This window comes from Homo sapiens, chromosome 3, assembly GCF_000001405.40.
Source record: "Homo sapiens chromosome 3, GRCh38.p14 Primary Assembly".
Lineage (NCBI taxonomy): Eukaryota > Metazoa > Chordata > Mammalia > Primates > Hominidae > Homo > Homo sapiens.
Genome location: NC_000003.12, coordinates 161,397,466 through 161,421,494, shown reverse-complemented (window position 1 = coordinate 161,421,494; position 24,029 = coordinate 161,397,466). Strand labels below are relative to the sequence as shown.

Genomic DNA, 24,029 nt, shown 5'->3' with positions numbered 1-24,029 from the left:
TAAAGGGTAGCACATCCCACAGCTGCCTGACCTGAGTTTTGCATGGGGGAGCCCACTGGGTGATAAAACCTGCTTCAGAGAATATTGGCTCTTATCATCCAGTGGGGGCTTTCACAAAAAAATTCTCCCATGAGAACAAGCAGGGCTTTGCCCCAAATATCTCCTGCTGCAGCAGAAAAGGCCTGCTACCCAGTTCCCTTGTGTTCCCTGCTGATTTGTTGCAGAAAATGGACAATGAAAAAATGACTGCCAGGTGGGGGCCAAAAGAGACCACTTCTAAAAACTGGCAATGTCTTTTAAATATTTCGAATTTTATTAGATTTAGGACTTACTTGCTATTCCCTCTGACCAGATGGACACACTTGCCCAGAGCTCCATGTGATTTACACTTTACATGGTTCTGGTTTCTGCTGAAATGTCACCGTCTCACAGACATCTCCGCAAATGAATTATGCGTTCCTCACTTCGTTTCCACCATCCTGTCATTCTTGTTTCTGTGTTTGCATTTTCTTTGATGCTCTTTCCATTCCTGAAATTCCATGGAGCGTGTATTTGCTTGTTTTACTCGCCTCCGCCAGGAGGGCAGGAAACTGCTAGTTTTGTTTACTCTTCTTCCCAGCACCCTGAACACAGCACGCAGAGCAGCTTTCAATAAATATTTGTTAAGCAAATGAACTGATGTGAATTGATTCTAACAGAAGAGGGAGAAAGGAGTGTTGAAGCTGACAGGAACCAAGCACATAATATTAGGAATATACTTATACCAAAAAAAAAATGTTGTTTATCTGAAATTCAAATTTAACTGGGCATCCTGAATTTCATTTGGCAACTCTATATATGAGTTCTCACTTATAAGTGGGAGCTAATCTACAAGGATGCAAAGACATAAGAATGATACAATGGACTTTGGGGACTCCAGGAAAATGGTCGGGGGGAGGTGAGGGATAAAAGATTATACATTGGATACAGTGTACATGCTGGGGTGATGGGTGCACCAAAATCTCAGAAATCACCACTAAAGAAGTGATCCATGTAACCAAACACCACCTGCTCCCCAAAAACTATTGAAATAAAAAAAAATCACAGGCTCATAAACTCATATTTTTTTCTATGTATTTTGCTATCCTTATCAGTAAGATATTTTAAACTATCTATATCCTCACTACCATCGATGTCTATGTAGAGAGGGAAATATTTGTGATTCTTTTTCCCATGAATTTCCAAAGGGGCATTTCAACATGTCTGCCTTTCTTTCTTGCCTGGGTCTTTCTCAGCACTTAGTTAACAGTGGGTTACTTTGTGCTCTATAAACAGCTACTCCACACTTTGTGTTTCATGGGGTGGAAGGACAGTGTGTGAAGTTTGAGTGGCATAAATTCATCAACAATCTCTCATGATTCAATGCTGTTTGAAATTCCTCCATGAAGGTCAGCACTTTCTTTTTCTATACATAAACATTTTATTTTAGAATAATTCTAGTTTTATAGAAATGTGGTAAAGATAGCAGAGTTCTCAACATCCCACACCCAGTTGCCCCCATTGTAAATGTCTTACACAGACACAGTACATTTATCGCAATGAAGGAATTAAACACAACCAACAAGACCTTTCAAAACATAACCATGACACCTAAAAATAGTTAACAATAGTTTCTTAGAATGCTTTGTTTAGCCCATGGGTTTCCCCCATCTTTGCCCCTTATCCATCTGCCTTGATCCCCACAAGGGGGTCAATTCTCCTTTCCCCAGACTTGAAAACAACACAAGAAGGTAAGCAGCTGCTCACTCAGGCCAGGTATCTCATGTGACGACAACACTCAGCCATGTCTGGAGATAGTTGTGGTTGTCACAACCAGGGAGGTGCTACTGGCATTGAGTGAGTGGAAGCCAAGGTTGCTGCTCAACATCCTACAGTGCACAGAACAGGCCCCACCACAGAGAATGATCTGGCCCCAAATGTTCACAGTTTCAAGACTGGGAAACTGGAGTAGGCCATGCTGGGAATACACAGAAACTCCATGCTCTTCACCACCCCAGGACCCCGCCACCTCCCTGGCTTCTAACCACATCCTGGGATCCCATGGCACAGGTCTTGGGGACTCAGCAGGGAAGGGCGTCCAATCAAGGCACACCCTCCATGCTGCAGACCCTGGCCCACCCGACCAACCAGGGCCAGAATGAATACTGTACTTGCATTCTCAAACTTGACAGTGAGAATGACAGATGCATAAACAGCACTTCAAAGGGATTTTCATGTCTAGAGAATGGATGAGTGCTCCCCTCTTGTGGGAAGTGAAGCCAATGGGCAGGGGGCAAAGATGGAGAAAACTCCATCTTGGGCTAAACAAGGCTCCTTAAGGAACTAAAATCACTTAAAAGAAAGAAATGCTAGTTTACAAAAAAATTGGAGAGCATTGCTTTGCAATGCAGCATTGAAGAACAAACTGAAATGAACAAATGAAAATTGCTTGTTCAGACTTTTGATTATCCTCGTTTGGACTCAGAACAGGTGTTATAGAAGAAATGTACTCTTCTCACAAGAAGTGGCTTTGAGCTGTCTTCAGTGACAGCTGTGGTTATCTATGATTTGGAAGATCTTGAGAGGTCCTTGTTCTGGGGTCCCCAGGCTCGGTCTACCCACTTAGCAGTTCTGACAAGGAAAAAAGGACCACAGAACACAGAAAAGATGGGAAGAGTCAACTTGGAGGTGGAAAGAGGAAGACAAACAGCAAGTCCACTGTGGGAGAATAAGGAGGAGCCCCCACAGCCTTCTCCAGCTCTTCTCAGGTTCCATTTAGAGAGTTCCAAATCCCAGCAGCACCCAACATCTCCCCACAGGAAGTTACACTCCCCAAAATTACAGAGCAGAGCTTCTTACTGCAAAAATCTTTTAACATGGCAATAATACAATTGTGATATATTGCCTTGTCTACCATGCTAAATGATGGTGGTCTTGCCTACCATTCTAAATTCACTGTATGGTTTTACAACTTAGAAATTTTTGAAGCTATGAAAAAACTCAGTTATGTAAATGACATCCATAGGCCCCAGGGTAAATGGACAACACCTATAGAGCAGCCTTGCCAATTTTATCATCCCACACTTGTTATGCACAGAAAGCCCTTTGCTTGTTTATTTTCTATAACACTTGATATTGTTTGTGGACCTCTACCCCACCAAGAGAGGAAAAAATACAAATTTATTCTAATCGATAAACTTCATTAAATAAATAGCATCTTTGGTTAACTCTGGCTTCCTGAGAAAGCTGAGCATGTTAAATTTCCTTCATTTCCTCTGCTTCTCTCCAAAATGGCAGTTGAGTGAATGGCACTGGGACCTGGATACAAACACACACATCATTCTTCACTCTCCAGCTCCTCTGCCTCATCACTGCAGCACCTGGCTGGCAACTAATGTTCAGACCTGGGCCTGAGGAACTCTCAGGTCTTTCTCAGCTGGATCAGGAGATTGGCAACCCCGATGGTGCCTGACCTCCCATTTCTATTCTATGTCCAGCCAGCCAGACCACCCTACTCTTGTTTTGGGTGTCACTTTCCCTCCAAAACTCACACACTCCCACATTACCCCTTTGTTGCGGGAAGTCAGGGACCCCAAACGGAGGGACCGGCTGATGCCATGGTGGAAGAACATAAATTGTGAAGATTTCATGGACATTTATTAGATCCCCAAATTAATACTTTTATAATTTCTTACACCTGTCTTTACTGCAATCTCTGAACATAAATTGTGAAGATTTCATGGACACTTATCACTTCCCCAGTCAATACCCTTGTGATTTCCTATGCCTGTCTTTACTTCAATCTCTTAATCCTGTCATTTTCTTAAGCTGAGGAGGATGTATGTTGCCTCAGGACCCTGTGATGATTGCGTTAACTGCACAAATTGTTTATAGAGCATGTGTGTTTGAACAATGTGAAATCTGGGCACCTTGAAAAAAGAACAGGATAACAGCAATGTTTAGGGAATAAGAGAGATAACCTTAAACTCTGACTGCCGGTGAGCCAGGCAGAACAGAGCCATATTTCTCTTCTTTCAAAAGCAAATGGGAGAAATATCCCTGAATTCTTTTTCTCAGCAAGGAACATCCCTGAGAAAGAGAATGCATGCATCCCTGAGGGTAGGCCTCTAAAATGGCCACTTCGGCGAGTGGCCATCTTCTATGGTCAAAACTGTAGGAATGAAATAAGCCCCAGTCTCCCATAGCGCTCCCAGGCTTATTAGGACAAGGAAATTCCCACCTAAAAAATTTTGGTCAGACCAGTTGTGTGCACTCAAAACCTGTCTCCAGATAAGATGTTATCAATGACAATGCGTGCTGAAACTTCATTAGCAATTTTAATTTTGCCCCGGTCCTGTGGTCCTGTGATCTCACCCTGCCTCCATTTGCCTTGTAATATTCTATTACTTTGTGAAGCATGTGATCTCTGTGACCCACACCCTATTAGTACACTCCCTCCCCTTTTGAAAATCACTAATAAAAACTTGCTGGTTTTATGGCTCAAGGGGCATCATGGAACCTACTGACATGTGATGTCTCCCCCGGATGCCCAGCTTTAAAATTTCTCTGTTTTGTACTCTGTCCCTTTATTTCTCAAACCAGCTGACACTTAGGGAAAATAGAAAAGAACCTATGTGAAATCGGGGGCAGGTTCCCCCGATACCCCTTCCATTAAGTTCATCCACCAGTACCACCAGCTATCTAGATAGTTCTCTCTAGCATTATGGAAGCTTCCGGAAATGGAGTATTGTGGGGAATCAGGCCTGCCTGACCCTGCAGTTGCCCATGTGGTTATGAGAAGAATCTCTCTGTAAGATTCTCCTTTTTTCCAGAAGGAAATAGAGCAGAAAACACTCTTCTTTTCCCTCTGTCCTTATCCTACCTAAAATTGCTCTATATTCAGCACTGTGGCCCAGAGAGGGTCCCGCAGACAGGCTTTCTTACCATCTGCTCCTGCTGCCTCTGTTACCTCCTTCCTACCACAAGAACAGCTCTCCTCTTTATCTTCCTTCCTGTCCAGGACTTGCCTGGAGAAATACTGGTGATATCCTCAGTCAGGTAGGCTACAACTGACCTCTGTGCCCCGATGGGACTCATCTTCCCTTTCCCTGAAGATTTTGACTTCATGGTTTATGCTCGAAGGTGAAAGACTAGAGGAAAAAAATAAAAACTATTCTAGAGCAAAACAAAATGTGTCTGTTCAGTATTTTCTAAATTGTAATTCCCTTACATTTATTTTCTCAGAAGCAGAAGTTTTGAACTCCTTTCAAGAATTTCTTTACCAGCTTTTACTCCCTTAGTTGCCAGGACAACTTCAGCATTCCAACCAGGCCTTTTCATTACCTCATTTAAAAAGCAAACACACCAAGAAAAACCCATGTAAACTAGTTTCTCTAAGTGTTGATGTGGAGCCAAAACAAGCCAGCAGTAAGTGACCAGAGGCTGTAGAAAAGCCTCGGGGGAGGAAGTGAGCACAGGATTGAATCCAGAGTACATTACTCCTAGAACTTGGGGAAAATAAAAGTATGTTTAGAAAATTTGAGGTCAGAATTATTAGTGAAGTAGACTTGTTTTATACAGCAGTGAACACACATTCATAATTACCTTAATGATCTTCAATATCACATAGTGAAGACACCCTCCAATTTCAAAAGGTGAGCCCTGCCCTATAAAATTTATCACACAAAACCAGTTCTATCTAGCTTTTTTTAAAATGAATCTTTCAATGCTATTGCCTAATTGAATAAAGCTTTAGTATGACTCAATTTAATTTGAATTTATTTAGGAATTCATCCAAATACTGATGTAATTTTTGGCACAGTCATTTCTAAGGTCACAGGGTATGAGCAAAAGGACTAACTTTCCCATTACTTGTCATTTCCAGATAGCATATGTCCTTTTGCATACTGATTAGATCCTAGGGAAAAGTTGCAGTTCATTTTTACAGTGTTATTATTAAAGTCTCTAATAGATGCCAGGTGAATAAATTTGCATAATAACATTTTAGGCATTATATTTAAAAGTCATTTCTAAGCAAGATAAATTTTATTCAGTTATATTGATAACAATACCCATTACATATGGTTTTTAGCAAGTTCTTTTCAATACTTACGTAACAGTTTTGTTGTCTTACATGTATGACTTTAATCCACAATCAAAAAGAATAAATCTCCCTGCTTTGGTACCACCGTAGTTTTAAATGAGAAAAAAGAAAAAGTTATGAAGATGTGATAAGATGTGTTTTAAAATATAAGTATAAAGAAATTCTGGGGAAAATAGGCATAAATAGCAGTGGTAATTTACTGAGAATATCAGGCCTATCTATGCTCCTTACTTAAACTTCCCTGAAACTTAATGTAATTGTTAACCAGGTTGTAAAATGTCACTGAGAAAACCACAGCTTTTTAGGAACTGGAACCTCTTCAGTCATTTTCTTTTTACTTCAAAATCTATTTTTTTAATAACAAAGAAACACTAAGTATGAATATTCTTCTGTAAACTCCTATAGCTCTTTTTTGGTATGTGTGTTAATATACTTAACATGAATAGACCCTGCATATTATATCCATCCCACCATACACACACACACAAACACACACACACAGACACACACACACACACACACACACACACCCCAGATTATGAACCAGGGCAAAATTATATCTTAATCTTTTTTAATCTTCCACAATTTTTATTCCAGCATTTTGTAAACAATAGGTGCTAAGTAAATGTTTAGCAAGTTGAACTGAAGTTTGTTTTAATAATTTAAAATTTTAACTTATTTTTTTTAGAGAAACATGAAACTAAAATGCTACAGTACATTGCATGGCATACAGACTAAATTTTATTTTTAATCAGTTCTATTATTATACCTAGGTTCAGCAGAAATTTTGCTAATAAATCAATATGGTAGATTTCCAGGGTTTTAGATTGCCTATTCAAAATCTAAAGCTGTGTTGACAAAAGGTATATCAAAGAGACTGATTGCACAGGCTTCTGATCAAATTAGTATTGGATGAGCTTTATTGCCTTCCTTTTTAATATCTTACTACTGAAGGGAAGGTAGAATTTAATTGCGTTATTATGTTTAAGAAAGTATGACTGTCCTCCCAGATTCTACCCACTAGGACAATTTCCTTTAATTAATGAGAAGTGTCTGCCCTTTTTTTTTTTTTTTTTTGGTATCACGAGTAACTCAAAATTAAGGACCTAGAAAAGCACTGCATACATGTGAGATAAAGATAAATGATGAAGCAGAGTAACTAGAAGAGAAAGGAAGGAAGAGAGAAAAAAAGAAAGGAAGGAAAGAAGGACAAAGTAGCAAAAAAAAAAAAAAAAAAATAGAAGAAACTTCAATGCAAATTTAAAAACACAAAACAAAACCGAGAAAAAGTGAGGTTTTTTTTTAATTTAAAGATGTTGCCTAAGTAGGGCCAGAACTGTCTCTTCTTGACTTGGCCATGCTGAAGCACTTGTCTCACTGCCTTGCCCTTGTAGTTCTCATAGAAGGTTACCAGTGCTTCTCAATATTAAAGACACATATAAGTCACCTGGGGATCTTGTTAAAATGCAGATTCTGATCCAGTATCCCAAGTGGGGACTGAGAGTCTGTTATTTCTCAGGAACTCCCAAGTGATGCTGGTGTCTGGAGACCACATGCATCAGTAAGGCGTTAGCCAGCACACTAAGCAAGGAACTGGTTTTCTTGTCTTGAAATATATAATGAGGTTTCTCAACCCTGACACAACTGACATTTTGGATTGGATTATTCTTTGTTGTGGCTGCTGCCCTGTGCATTGTAGCATGTTTAGCAGCATATCTGTCTCTTACCCACTAGATGCCAGTAGCAAACCTCCCCCAATTATGACAATCACAAATGTCTCCAGATACTGCTAAATTCCTCCTGGGAGACAAAAATTACCCTGCTGAGAACTACAGAAATAGAATATATGTTGTGGATATTTTAGGGGAAAAGGCTGTTAGATAAAATGCATGCATCTTTGTAAAAGCAGCCTTAGGTCTTACAGCTCCTGACATCAGTTCTGTGCCAGCCCTGACCCTTACCCAACCTTGGCCTCCCTTTAGAAATCACTGTTGGGAGAACAGCAGTGGAAGCAAGCCCTGATGCCAACACCTCAGAGGAAAGCATTACAACTGGGCTACCGCAGCCTGGCCTCCCTCCAGGAAAGTCTGACATCCAAGAACCACCTCCTCCATTTGCTGCAGAGCTGGCAAGATCTGAGAATATTCCCAGCATCTAGAAAGAATGAAATTCTTTGTATCTATTCTTAACCTTTGGATACATGATAAACTAGTAGAAATTTTGACTATTTTTAACAATGTTAAATCAGACACACAAAAAAGTGTAGTTTTAATATCACCTACATGATGTAGCTCAGAGATTCATTCCTTCCTTACACTTAAGAAAGCAAATAGCAAATATTTTTCAGAATAGTTCAAAAATACAGAAGTTAGCATAGCTTTTAGGGTAAACTTTAGGTTCATCTTCCTGTCAAAAAGGCCAGTGAGGATACAACTTCTTTAGGCATCAAATTCCCAGTTTCTGAAGGACAGAGAGCAGTTCTGAAGTTTGAGTTGAATCACCTTCAATGATTTCTCCTCGAAACCTCATCTTCTAACTGTAACTCTTTTCTAAGCTCACAGTTTTGGAGACCTCTTTTGATTTGCTCCTCTGAGTTCAAAGGATTTGGGGTCTAAGATAGGAAACGTGTGTTCTGATTAGACTCTCCCTGGAGCAACATGTCCCCTTTGGCTTAATCATACTGTGTAATCAGCTGTAGGGGAAGCTCGTTGTTTGACTTCACCTCTCTGGACCTATAAAATTCATCAGTGGTCTTCAGACTTTTATTTTTAATAAGTGATTTTTTTTTCAAACCAAATTTTCTGGAGACCATAAAAAAGATATAAAAGTTGGGGGGTGCAGTTAAATAATCTCTTTCATTACTTCAATATTTTCATTTTCTTTTTCTTCTCAACTCTCAAGTTACTTAACTTCTGTTTCAAAGTGTTTTTCTTTATTTGTTGTATTGCTCAATTATATTTAATAAATTCAAGTGACTAATAGGCTCTGCTAAATTCCATACAGTGTGGAAAACAGAAGAATAAGATAGTATCTCTGACCTCAAGGAATTTAACGATCTATTTAGTTAAGGTGGGACTAGTACAAATAAAACAACTAGTGAACAGTGCAAACAATTCTAAGACTCCCTGACTCTCAAACTGTGCCCAGCACATAGAAGACTCCCAACTAATATTTGTGGAATGAGTGAATGAACTACTCACTTTTTACATGAAAGTTGGCCCTGTGAAGGGTTAGATTGGTCAGAGAAGACCTCATGGTAAGAACCGCAGAACTTTCAGCATGTAACAACTCCATCCAAACCTCTGTACTAAAGAGAAATGCACCAAACTCTAGCCTGGCTTCTAGCAGCAGAAGGCGATGTCCGTAGGATGGCCCCAGCCCTGTATTAACATGTCTGCCTGAGAAAGCCTAGAGCTGCCAGGAGAATTTTCTGTTCGTCCCAGACCTCTATTGGGGCTCAAAAACCAATACCCCAAAATATGATGCTTTGACATGCTGAACCAAGGAAGCAGCCTCAATGTCTCTCTGACCTCCCCTCACTACTGTCTCTCAATCCTCTGGCTCTCCCAAAGCACAGAATGAAGTTGTTCTCTGAAGTTCCCATATCTGCCTAAATGCCAGACCCACCAAAGAAGAAAACAATTTCCTCTTGCCTCTGGTTATTTCCCTGAGTTTTTATTAACTTAACTCATATTGCAGGAAAGAAGACTGAAGTATGTCAACACACCTGGACAGACTTTTCTCACAAACCATTGTCTGCTCTGCAGGCCCAACAGACTTTGTTCCAGGCCATTGTATGTTCTTCAAGCCCAGTGAATTCCCCTGAAAATCATTTACTATCCCCCTAAAATCATCACACTTCCCCATCTCTCTTTCCCCTAAGTAAAGGAAGAAGGGGTATATAACCATTTTTGCCCCATTGCGTGGTGGGGTAGTCACTCTGATTCTCCCCCAGGGACATTAATAAATCTATATACCACTTCTATTAGTAGTAGTAGTAGTATTTCTGAGAGAGGGGCTCACTCTGCCACCCAGACTGGAGTGCAGTGTTATGATCTCGGCTCACTGCAGCCTCCACCTCTCCAGATCAAATGATCCTCCCACCACAGCCTCTCAAGTAGCTGGGACTACAGGTATGTACAACCAAGCCTAGATAATTTTTAAATTTTTGTAGAGATGGGATCTCACTGTATTGCCCAGACTGGTCTTGAACTTCTGGGCTCAAGCAATCCTCCTGCCTTGGCCTCCCAAAGTGTTGATATTGCAGGTGTAAACCACTACGCCTGGTCTATGGATGTTATTTCTCTTATTAAATCTGCCTTTTGTCAACTGACTTTCAGTGAACCTTCAGAGGACAAAGGAGAAGTTTTCCCTTGGCCCCTATACCTCCTCTTATTAAAGCATTTACTGTAAAGGCCTTACAATCATGAATCCTTCCTCTGTCCCTTTGAGATGTATATATATCTCCTGCAATTTAGGATTGTCTTTCTCAAAGATCTGAAGACCATTCTTAGAAATGTACTTGTCAGGATAGAATCCTAATTTGGGGCCATCATTGCTGGCTAGCAGACACAGCTGGCCTAGTCACATTTACACTGACCAACCCTTGGTAACTTTTTATTTGAACCCCAGTTCTCTCTCCCTCCCACTCTCTCCCTCTGAGGTGATGGATGTGTTTTATGTGATGATGACATCATGGGTGTATTTATATGTCTGGATTCATCAAGATACATACATTAGATGGGTACAATTTTTTTGTGTATCAGTTGTACCTCGATAGAGCTAAAACTAGAGAGAGAACTGATAAAACAATGTATATTACAAGTTTTTATAGCTAATTTTCAGACATAAACAATAAAGTCTTATTGGAATAATAAAAATTAAAATAAAAGACACCGCCACCTCTGCACAAACTGGAATGGAGCGCAGCTCTTTCCCTGACTGTCAGTAGTTACTGAATAAAATGTTTTCATCACTTTAATGTCAGTGGTGTTTATCTTGGACAAGTGTGAAGTTGAGACCCTGGGACAAAGGGAGGAATTTCCCTGCCAGCAATCCCTTCTTCGTGCCTCCTTCCAGTCTATCTCTTAGGCTTTGACGGGTCCCACTTTCCAGCCTCCCTACATCCACTTTCACTGCACACTACCCACTTCCATTTTTCTGTTGAGACTTTCTCCGATTAGTTGCCCCATCCAGGGTGGGTGGGTTCCCAAAGGCGGAATGCTTCCACACCCCTGGATAGGTTCTGCTGTCTGGCATATACCCTATTGCATCTGACTCCCCAAAAGACTCAGAAACTGTGGCCGAAACCAGCAGGCCCTGCCAGCAAATTAGTAACTTCCTGCTCCTCCCAGGTGCTGTGGAAAGGAGGGAAAGACTTTCTCAGGAGGGCAGAGATGGAATCATTGCTCATGGTGCCTCCTTCTTCCTCTGCTTATTTTGCATCCAGAGGATCAGAGATGTAAGAACTTGAGAGGATCTCAGAGCTCCTTTAGTACAATCTCCTCATGTGATAATTGAGGAGGTAAGATCCAGGGGTTACTACTGCTACAACCACCGCTACTGCTTTCACTTTTGCATGCATACTCTACCAGGAATTGTTTCAAATGCTTCACAAATGGCGCCATTCTTCCCATTTTACAGAGGAAGATGCTGAGACCCAGAAACTGAGTCTACCGGAGGTGATGTAGCTAAGTAGCAGAGGTGAAATTCAAACCCATTGAACAAAAAAAACCAAATCCCCAAACGTCTCACAAGCGTGAAACTTAAAATGATCCACAATTTTTAGTAAAATATTAAGAACACCGTCCTATTTCGTTAGATACATTACTTTTTAATGTGCAAAATGGTCAGCCCTGAGGGTATGGGAAAAGGGGCTGTGAGTATAGTTAGAAATTAGTACAAAAAAGTTTTCTGTAGACTTCCTCATAATCACATTTTCCTTCAATTTGGCTGAATTTCAGTAACAGTTGATTTAATATATGAAAATGGTAAGGTAATATGTTATCATCCTGAGAAAGGCTGATGCTGTAAATCCTGTTGTGACAAAAGGCTGTTGTGACAAAAGGCTCATGCTGTAAATCCTGTGTGTCAAATAAGTCACACTTCAGTGAAAGACTAATTCAGCAAAGAATTTTGCAAATATCGCAAGTTCCATAAGGGGGCAACATGGGGCCGTTACATAGGGAAGACATCTCTTCAAAAAACTGTAATTCCTCTCTTTAACCTCCAAATTTTCCAGAGATCGAGTTGTTCACTCCAAAAATAATATTCCAGGAATTGACTTTAAGAATATTGCCCAGAATTTCAAGCTCTGTGAAACTTTTCATGACAATCATAGCTAAATAGCAAAATAATCGAGAAATGTAATAACTGAAGTTTGACCTTGGGCAAGTCTTTTGGCCCCTTTGGGTCTCCACATTCACATTTGTAAAATGACACTAACCCCACTCACATCTGTAAAACAGCATTAATCCCACCTGCACCATTTACCACAGAGGGAAGGTGCTAATTCCCAGTGTAATGCTATGTCTGCAGATGTAAGATTTTTTTGTTTTGTTTTGTTTTGTTTTGTTTTGTTTTGTTTTGAGACAGGGTCTCAGTCTGTTGCCCAGGCTGGAGTGCAGTGGCAAGATCTCGGCTCACTACAACCTCTACTTCCCAGGCTCAAGCGATCCTCCCACCTCAGCCCCCCAAGTAGCTGGGATTACAGGTGCACACCACTCATGCCCGGCTAATTTTTATATTTTTTGTACAGACTTGGTTTCACCATGTTGGCCAGGCTGGTCTCGAACTCCTGACCTCAAATGATCCACCCACTTTGGCCTCCCAAAGTGCTGGGATTACAGGCATGAGCCACCGTGCCTGGTCTGCACATGTAAGATTTTAAGATTTTATTAAACATACAATTAATTCAAATAGATTGTTGGGTTACCTGTTTGGATCCACATCCTAAAGATAACATATGCTTAGAAGCATAAAGCAGGAGGTAACCAACAGCCTGCAGCTTGAGTCCCTAAGACCCATATGTACAAGAAAATCAAAGTCTCAGGTAAAACCCTTACTCAACTGCAGCTTCCCCCAGCAGGGATTAGGGACCACATGTTGGAATGCACGATGTTTTGAAACATTGCTCAGAACCAGTGGGGCCTGGGTGGGCAAGCTCTTTCAGTGTTGGATTTTCCTGCGGGTCTCCAGAAACTGATAGCCTGTATACATACCTAGCGCCAATAACCATAGATACATTATAGATTAAAATTATGTACCTAAAACTTGCCTCATGATGCAGTTAACTTTTCCAAGATGATTTTATCAGCTTTTATGAAAATCATGTTGTGCCATGTTAAGTTACTTAATAATGTGCCTGCTCTTCACTTTAAAGGTAGAAACTTTCGGTGCTGTTAAATCGTAGCACTTCTTGACAACACCTGTTGATGTAAATGATTCAACCGTGAGTCCCTTGCTTTGTAAATCATATTCTAGAACAACTAGCTTCTTACATTGCCTTCAAGTTTATGATTTTATGCAAGTATACTTGTATAAAACTCTTTTAGAATTTAGAATTCTATGTACATTTTCTCCTCACTTGTTTATCTTCAGAACTAATTCTGAAAGCATTTTGAAATTCCATCATTCAAGGTTCTTTGCCCTCTATGAAGGTAGTTTTTTTTTTAACCAGTCTCAAAATAAAAGATACTGAAAATGAAATGAATCAAACAACTTGGAGATTCCTAGCAAATCCCCGGGGTCTAGTGACCCCGAGCAAGGGTCACTAGAGAAATTGTAGGGGCAAAAACAGGGATTTAGCCTAAACCATAAGAATGATTAAAAAAAAATCTCTTTAGCATTTTATAAAGGTGTTATACATTCTAGAGAAAAGGATGAGAATCCATTCCATTCTAAAAATTCATCAGTTATCAGTAAGGGTAGGAAAAAATATGTAACCCTTAGTCAGAGTCATAATAGTCCCAACCCTTGAGAAAAAAAAAAAAACAATATGTTAGACTTGGTTCATCCATCTGCTGAGCCAATATTTGCACATTCAAAACTTGCAGGTATCAAATGTACATATTTGCTTTGAAAAGAATTTTTGGAGCTGGGAAAGAGTCTATTCTAAGTAGCAAATACTTAACATCTCCTGACATTTATTCCACTGTAAATGAAAATTTTTCAAGAGAAATTAGAATTATTATCATTTTAAGGGTTCTTACTATTGTGCTGAGAACCCCACAGCTGGGAACAACAGAATTCTTATGCTTCTGGATCCCACACTCCTCCACTAAGTTGCACTTTTGATTTCATTCAGAAATCAAAAAGTGCAAAAGTGAACTCTGGCAAAGTGCAAAAGAAAGTTCTTAGGAAGCAAAGGTTCTATTTGTATTTAAAGAACATTCCATGACAATGATGGTGTGATAGAAAAGGGCCATGTTTTAGGCAGCAAAAATAAAGACATAGATTATGATAAAAATTTATGCTATTTGGGGAAGAATCAACAGCATGTTTGAAATCAGAGCTTTCCTAGACCCAGGTTGTGGCTCTGGAGTTAACAGCCCCTCTCACAAGGCACTTTGGTGTGTGGCTACAGGAAGTGAGGAAGTGGTGGCATCAACCACAGCCTTCTTTTGTTAGGCTCCAGCTAAACACATGCATACACACGTGAAAACAATGGCCAAAATTCCTCAGACACTGGGAAATATTAATTTAATGCATAATAAAATTTTGCATGCAATCCCTCCTGCCAAGGCTATCCTTGCCCTTTGTTAGGCATCCCTCTTAGTCCATTTGTGCTGCTATTAAAAAAATACCGGAACCGGGATAATTTATAAAAAATAAAAATTTATTGTCTCACAGTCTGAAGGCTGGAAAGCCCAAGATCAAGGTGCTGGTAGGTTCAGTTTCAAGTGAGGGCCTGTTCCTCATAGATGGCACTGTCTAGATGTCTGCAACATGTTAGGAAAGATGGAAGGACAAAAAAGAAGATGAATCCTATATCCTCACATGGCAGAAGAGCAGAAGAACAAAAGGGGCCCAAGCTAGTTTCCTCCAGCTTTTATTTCCCTAATCCACTGTGGGGTGGAAACTTCATGACTTCATGACAAAATGCCCCACCTCTAACACAACCACAATGAGAATTAACTTTAAACTCATGAATTTGGGGGAGCATTCAGACTATAGCAGCACCTTTGTTCCCATGCCAGGAAAGCTGGTTATCAGCTTGGTTCATGCCTCCCTGCTCTCAACCTAGTGACCTGTGTGCTGGTTTTCACTAGATTCCACCCACCTAAGCCCTCTCCTTGACATTAGTTTGAACCCTGATCAACGTTTCTTTCCAGTAACATGTCAGTCTGCAAGCCTGCTGTTTCCCCAACCCAGCGAACATCAGGATTGCTCACAGCGATCTGATCCTTCCAGGAAGTTTAAACAGATCAAATGTGTCTTCAGCGCCAGTTCTCTCAATTTTGCCTATCACTTTTAATCCCTTGCTCATTCTTTCACATCTCCTTGTCCCATGCCATCAGGGACAGACTTCTACATCTAAGCCCTGCATGCTGCCTCCCTCTTGCCACAGGATTTCATGGAAGAGCTAAAATTGCCATCTCTAGTGGGCATCTCCACAGGGGTATTTGCTATGTTGGAGAATAAATTCGAGGATGTATAAGATACATCCTCTATCCTTTAGCTGATTACTATCAAATGGCAAAGGTAATTTCATAATTTAACAAATTTTCTCATAACGTTTCCTCAGGCATGAGGAAATGTAAAACAACTAGATTGTCAAGTATGTAGGTTTTATGTCAGTGGCTATGTAGATAAGCCCAGAAATGTAGGTCAGGTGAGATCAAGGTTTTCAATGCCAAGGGGGAAAGTTTAACTGGATTTCATGGGTCACAGATGGTTGATAAAGGCTTTTGTGCAAGGATAGCACAATTGATGAGTGAATTAGTAATACTGTCCTATAGACAGCCTGCCAGAATATTTGGAGGGGAAAATATTTGAAAACAGAAAGATCAGCTGTGTCAAAGAACAAAATTTAAGCACATTGAGTTTAAAGATCTAATTGGCCTTTATTAGCAATTCATGAATTGGGCAGCATCCCATTTACAAAATAGAAAGGTGCTCTAATGGGCTGAGCAGAAGACATCGGTTTTATAGGCAGAAAAACCTGAAGAAAAGGCAGAAACAAGGAACAAGAAGAGGATTGGTCTTTTCAAAGTTACTTTCCCTATAGGGTTAAAGCATGATTTCTCTGTCTTGCTGGCTCAGGTTAACTAAGCCCCTTTACACTGGTTGTTGCTGAATCTCCTGCTTTTCGGAAAACTGACCTATATCTAAGTTTCATTACATGGCATTTAGCATGGGTGACCCCATTTTGATTTGGTCTGGTCTGCTGAGGCCTAGTGCAGAAGCTCAGTCCAAAACAATTACCTCCATAAATTTTATTTAACAGCTGGAAGGCTAGTATACTTTTCCAGAAAGGAAACCACCAGGGCCTGAGCCAGAGAAGCAGAAAAAAAAAATCAGAAATATGAAAGACCTCACAACAGAAAAAGCCACAGGAACAGGACACAGAATGGATAAATGCAGTAAAGGTGAGACTTCAAACCCTGGTTCCAGGTTCAGCAGTGGTACTATGAACAGAAATTCTCTTCGATTTAATGTAAATCTGCTTCAAAGGAACTGAGGACATCTAGTTCCCTCAAACAGAAACAACAGTGGCCTAAGATGTGAATTCTGCTTTCCTGAGTTGTTCATTAAACAGGCATTTAGTATTTCCAATATGATAGGCATTAGGAAGTCAGAAATAATTAGATGATCTCCAGATCCTCTAAGAGTTCACCAACTTGTTCTATGACTTACAGGTAATTATTTTAGTTTCCTTATCTCTAAAATATACAACTATAACTCAATTTTCATTTATGATTTTCCCTATAACCAACTATTAAGCAACTTTCTTGGTCCATTTTCTGTTGCTTATAACAAAATACCTGAAACTGGGTACTTTATAAGGAAAAGGAACTTACTACTTACAGTGATGGAGGCTGAGAAGTGCAACATTGAGGGGCAACATCTGGTGAGGGCCTTCTTGCTGATGGGGATTCTCTGCAGAGTCCTGAGGCAGTGCAGAGCTTCACTTATAAGGGGGCTGAGTGTGCTAGCTCAGGTCTCTCTTCCTCTTCTTATAAAGCTTCCCAACCTCATTCCCATGATAGCCCATTAATTCATTAATCCATTAACCCATTAATCCATGAGTGAATTAATCAAGAGCCCTTATGTCCCAATCACCTCTTAAAGGCCCCATCTCTCAATACTGCCAAATTGGAGATTAAATTTCAACATGAGTTTTAGAGGGAAAAACATTTAAACCACACCAACAACTATCATTATTATAAATGTATGCTGTCTTTGAGCTATCACTAGCCACTGCTAAGGCATGAATAATTTATTATGCTCCCTTTTATAGCTTCATTGTCAAGGACAACACAGAGATTAAAGAACATCATTTCAAATGGTGGCATTTCAGACATCACAGAGGACCGGAGGCAATGGTCTTTCACAGCTCTGCTAAAGTATAATTTTCAGCTGTTCCTCAGATGGAATTTTGTGCACCACTAGGCATATAAGGCAGTATGTTGCACTATACTCAGAGCCACAGGCAACAGGACATGTTATTCAGGTGCATCTATTTTACTGGAAAGTTTAAGGTAATTTATTCATTTGAAATAGTTTATATCAAAACATACCAATATATTATGCAGTAGAATGTAGATTTTGCACTAATTTTTCATTTTAAATAGGGGAATAAAAATAAATTTAGTTCTGGGGTGTTTGGGAGCCTATGAAATGGACTTGGGGAGAAGGGAGAAGGTAAACATACAAACTCTTGGATGTACTCCAGAGAAATGCTTGGGAACCCTGATGATTCACCCAGCCCAGTCTAATACCTCATATGCCTTAGGGTGAAAAGAACAGTCCAGGACCACTTAATGAGATCCAAAACTCAGATTTTCTGGGCATTAATACATTTTTTAAATTCCTTTTCATTTTCCCTATATTTACTTTCAGTGGACTGATATGTGTTTTATAATTCTAAGCCTACTGGCCACAAGTTATAAACTCAATGGCTCTCTGAAATCAAAGAAACAGACATGAATAGAATGGCTGTATAGTAGCTAACACTGGTGTGTACAAGGTGACACAATTGTCAAGATGGGCACCATCATATGCAGAACATAACCGATCCCCACTCCCTGACCCACTATCCATGAATCACTGAGTCTCAACTAAAATGTCAGCAACTTTTGGTCTTTCCCCAACCCCCTCACCTCGCAAGGTCTTTAAAGCACTCAATAGCCCAAATTATTTTCTCTTTTGGGATGACATTGTAAATCCTCACACCAAGTGAGCCATCTCCATAGTAACCATAGATAAATCTAGACATAAGAATGGCTTGGATCTTTTAAACTGAAATGAGAAAATCTGGCTCAAACTATACAACTTTTGAAGGATAAAGATGATAGATTCAACAGAGTAAACATAATGTTATTCAAATCAGTAGTCATTTTACTTTAATCTAGAGATTTAGCTTTGGCGTTTTCACAATCTTCCTGAGAGCTTATCATGTTGTTGAACATTCTTTTTTCGGATAAAGGCTTAAAAATGGTTTACAATGACCCACAGGGAGAGGGCAAGACATTTTTCAACTACTGTTGATATTTTCTTATCATTATACCATGAGCTTCTACTTTTCCCATTCTCATTCCAACTTCTCAAATTTCAAATTTGGAAATCGACTTATTTAAACTTGAACGAAAAAAATCTTTCCAGATCTAAAGACTTTTCAAGATATTTAACATAGAAACTGATGATAATTAAAACTTACAACAGCCACATGAAGTCTTCTCCCAAGGAGGTCGTGATGACCCTGAAAGTAATACTTGAAGAGAATAACTTTATTACTCTTCAAAGATCTTGGAATATGAATGAAAGCTATACTTTAGTTTCTTCCTTTTCTGGTAAAGAAACTGAGATCCTAGTGAATTTGAAGAATTAATTCGATAAATCAAGAGAAGCCAAGAATTCTTATATTCAAGATATCTAATTAGTTACTATAATGGGGAATTTTTAACCACACCCATAAATCATACTAAATATTGTTAACATATCTTACCCTTTTTCTACCCTCCATTTTGACACCTCCTTTAAATTTTGAAGCCTGCAAAATAAAATAAAATAAAATACTCTAATTATTGTCTTGAGACAGACTGGAAGAAATAGGCTGTTGAACTCCCATTATTATAAATTACAGAAAGGGGGCTTTTCATTAAACAATTCACCTTCTGACTAAATCTCTTATGCTACTTATTCCCTTTATTTGTGCTATTTTTCCATTTAATGTAATTTAGCTCTTACTTCCTATAACTTTAGTAGCTCTGGAACTCCAATTCCAGAATGAATGTTAAGGACAGACATTGCATCCTCACTCCTAGAAAGCAGCTGCATATACAAGCATTAAGTTAGACCTTGTACAAAACAAGGGGTTTCTTCACTGTCAATATAAATGTGAGCTTGCTTTCCATAATTTCTTTGCAATAAGAAGTAATGTTATCAACTCTATACTAGCATTTAGATCACCAAAGAATTGTCAGGTTTGGCCAGAATATCAGGAAAGCGTCAAAGCTCCAGATGCAGGGCGAAAGACATTTTCACATGAAATTGGGCAGGAAATGAAGTACTATCAGGAGACTGCTTCTAACTAATTGCATTTTTGTGGGCCAGCTTTCATGGAGAACAGATGAGTTAGGCAGTATAAGATGTGATGATAAGGAAATATTGAGAAATGGAGGGAACCCAAGATTTTCCACATCTGTTTCTGCTGCCTTGGCAACTAACTGCTATCTCTTCAAAAGCCTAAGGGAGCTGACCCAGTTGATTGATTGGTATATTCTCTTTTATTCTCATACTCCAGTTCCATTCCCTTTTTCTGGTCACTTGACAGTCATTCTAATATATTTAATAAGTATCTGCTTGTGTATGTTCTCACAAATGGATATTTTTATTTTGTGTTCATGTTTTTCACATTAATTCACACAAATTAAATGGTGTTTAGTTTTCTATTTCATTCTATTTTGTACTTTTTTCACTAGGATTTTAAGATCCATCCACGTCGCTATCTCTACAGGTATCTGTTGCTTCTGTAGGGGTCAAGGGAAAACTTATCCTTAGCCCTCTGAAGATTCACTGAAAATCAGTGGACAAAAGACAGATTAACAGGAGAAAAGACATACAAATGTATTAATGTGCACGAGGGAGAATCAGAGTGATTACCCCACCACACAATGGGGTACAGATGACTAAATACTCCTTCTTCCCCCTCCTAGGGAAAAAGGAGGTGGGGAAATATGGATAATTTTAGTGGTGTAATAAATTATTTTTAGAGGAATTCAATGAGCTTGAACAATATACAACGGCCTGGGCCAAAGCCGGCTAGGCCAGCCCAAATAGTAGATAATGGTTTGTGACCAAAGTCTGTCCAGGTATATTGACAGAGTTCAGTCTTTCTTTCTGCATTATGAGCTCAGTTAATGAAAACTCAGGGTAGGGATCAGAGGTAAGAGGTAATTATTTTCTTCTTTGTCAGGTCTGGAGTTGAGGATTGAGAGAAAGGATTGTGGGGCGGCAGGGGTCGGGGGCTGGAGGGGGTTGGTCAGAGAGACCTTGAGGCTTCTGCTTTAGTTCAGCATGTCAAAGCACTATATTTTAAGGTATTAGTTTATCAGCCTCAACACTTCTTTTTTTAATTTTTTTTAACTTCATTTTATTTTAAGTTCCAGGATACATGTGCAGGACGTGCAGGTTTGTTACATAGGTAAATGTGTGCCATGGTGGTTTGCTGCACCTATTAACCCATCACCTAGGTATTAAGCCCCACATGCATTAGCTATTTATCCTGATGCTCTCCCTCCCCCAACCCCCTCCGACAGGCCCCAATGTGTGTTGTTCCTCTCCCTGTGTCCATGTATTCTCATTGTTCAGCTCCCACTTATAAGTGAGAACATGCAGTGTCTGGTTTTCTGTTCCTGCATAAGTTTGCTGAGGTTAAAGGCTTCCAGCTCCATCCATGTGCCTGCAAAGAACATGATCTCATTCCTTTTTATGGCTGCATAGTATTATTCCATGGTGTATTTGTACCACATTTTCTTTATGCAGTCTGTCGTTGATGGGCGTTTAGGTTGATTCCATGCCTTTGCTATTGTGAATAGTGCTGCAGTGAATATACATGTGCATATATCCTTATAAAGAATGATTTATATTCCTTTGGGTATATACCCAGTAATAAGATTGCTGGGTCAAATGGTATCTCTGGTTCTAGGTCTTTGAGGAATTGCCACACTGTCTTCCACAATGGTTGAACTAATTTACATTCCCACCAACAGTGTAAAAGTGTTCCTTTTTCTCCACAGCCTCACCAGCATCTGTTGTTTCTTGACTTTTAATAATCATCTTTCTAACTTGTATGAGATGGTATCTCATTGTGATTTTAATTTGCATTTCTCTAATGATCAGTAATGTTGAGCTTTTCTTCGTATGTTTGTTGGTCACATAAATGCCTTCTTTTGAGAACTGTCTGTTCATGTCCTTTGCCCACTTTTTAATGGGGTTGTTTTTTTCTCATAAATTTGTTTAAGTTCCTTGTAGATTCTGGACATTACACCTTTGTCAGATGGATAGATTTCAAAAATTTTCTCCCATTCTGTAGGTTGTCTGTTCATTCTGATGATAGTTTCTTTTGCTGTGCAGAGTTCTTTAGCCTAATTAAATCCCATTTGTCAATGTTTGCTTTTGTTGCAATTGCTTTTGACATTTTTGTCATTAAATCTTTTCCCATGCCTATGTCCTGAATGGTATTGCCTAGATTTCCTTCTAGGGTTTTTATAGTTTGGGGTTTTACATTTAAGTCTTTAATCCATCTTGAGTTAATTTTTGTATAAGGCATAAGGAAGGGTTCCAGTTTCAATTTTCTGCATATGGCTAGCCAGTTTTCCCAGCATCATTTATTAAATAGGGAATCCTTTCCCCATTGATTGTTTTTGCCAGGTTTCTCGAAGGTCAGATGGTTGTAGGTGTGTGGACTTATTTCTGAGATCTCTATTCTGTTCCATTGGTCTATGTGTCTGTTTTGGTACCAGTACCATGCTGTTTTTGTTACTGTAGCCTTGTAATATAGTTTGAAGTCAGGTAGCATGATGCCTCCAGCTTTGTTCTTTTTGCTTAGGATTGTCTTGGCTATATGGGCTCTTTTTAGGTTCCATAGGAATTTTAAAGTAGTTTTTCTAATTCTGCAAAGAATGTCAGTGGTAGTTTAATGGTAACAGCATTGAATCTATAAATTGCTTTGGGCAGTATGGCCATTTTCACGATATTGATTCTTCCCATGCAATTTGTTTGTGTCCGCTCTGATTTCCTTGAGCAGTACTTTGTAGTTATCCTTGAAGAGGTCCTTCACTTCCATTGTTAGCTGTATTCCTAGGTATTTTACTCTCTTTGTAGCAATTGTAAATGGGAGTTCATTCATGATTTGGCTTTCTGCTTGTCTATTGTTGGTGTATAGAAATGCTTGTGATTTTTGCACATTGATTTTGTATCCTGAGACTTTGCTGAAGTTTCTTAACAGCTTAAGAAGCTTTGGGGCTGAGATGATGGGGTTTTCTAGACATAAGATTATATCATCTGCAGAGACAGTTTGACTTCCTCTCTTCTTATTTGAATATCCTTTATATCTTTTTCTTACCTGATTGCTCTACCCAGAACTTCAATACTACACTGAATAGGAGTGGTAAGAGAGCGTATCTTTGTCTTGTGCTGGTTTTCAAGGGGAATGTTTCCACCTTTTGACCATTTGGTATGATATTGGCTTTGGGTCTGTCATAAATGGCTCTTATTATTTTGGGCTATGTCCATCAATACCTAGCTTATTGAGACTTTTTAACATGAAAGGATGTTGAATTTTACCAAAGGTCTTTTCTGCATCTATTGAGGTGATCATGTGTTTTTTGTCTTCAGTTCTGTTTATGTGATGAATTATGTTTATTGATTTGCATATGTTGAACCAGGCTTACATGACAGGGATGAAGTTGACTTGATCATGGTGGATGAGTTTTTTGATGTGCTACTGGATTCAGCTTGCCAGTATTTTGTAGAGGGTTTTTGCATCAATGTTCATCAGGGATATTGGCCTAAAGTTTTCTTTTTTTGTTGTATCTCTCTCAGGTTATGATATCAGGATGATGCTGGCCTCATAAAATGAGTTAGGGAGAAGTACCTCCTTTTCAGTTGTTTGGAATCATTTCAGAAAAAAATGGTACCAGCTCCTCTGTATCTCTGGTAGATTTCAGCAGTAAATCCACCTGGTCCTGAGCTTTTTTTGGTTGCTTTGCTATTTATTACTGCTGCAATTTCAGAACTTGTTATTGGTCTATTCAGAGATTCAATTTCTCCTGGTTCAGTCTTAGGAGTGTGTATGTGTCCAGGAATTTATCAATTTCTTCTAGATTTTCTAGTTTATGTGCATAGAGGTGTTTATAGTATACTCTGATGGTTGTTTGTATTTCTGTGGGTTCATTGGTGATATCCCCTTTATCATTTTCTATTGTGTCTGATTATTCTCTTTTCTTCTTTATTATTCTAGCTAGTGGTCTATTTTATTAATTTTTTCAAAAAACCGGCTCTTGGATTCATTTATTTTTTTGAAGGGTTTTCGTGTTTCTATCTCCTTCAGTTCTACTCCAATCTTGGTTATTTCTTGTCTTCTGCTAGCTTTGGGGTTTGTTTGCTCCTGGCTCTCCAGTTCTTTTAGTTGTGATGTTAGGGTGTTGATTTGAGATCATTCTAACTTTTTGATGAGGGCATT

The 24,029-nt window shown here is 39.3% G+C and overlaps 1 long non-coding RNA gene across 1 annotated transcript in view, besides 1 other annotated feature; it reads right to left on the bottom strand.

Moving 5' to 3' along the window:
- Positions 197-845: an enhancer, noted in NCBI's record as "OCT4-NANOG hESC enhancer chr3:161138438-161139086 (GRCh37/hg19 assembly coordinates)". NCBI's record gives its function as "activates a minimal SCP1, AML or CMV promoter by ChIP-STARR-seq in naive H9 embryonic stem cells {active_cell/tissue: H9 hESC(naive)}" and the evidence as "EXISTENCE:reporter gene assay evidence [ECO:0000049][PMID:30033119]".
- Positions 6,635-24,029, bottom strand: part of LOC107986150 (uncharacterized) — a 35,884-nt gene continuing 18,489 nt past the window's right edge. Inside the window, exon 3 of the long non-coding RNA XR_007096152.1 lies at positions 6,635-19,334. This is a non-coding gene — a long non-coding RNA (uncharacterized LOC107986150). The remainder of the gene's footprint in view (positions 19,335-24,029) is intronic.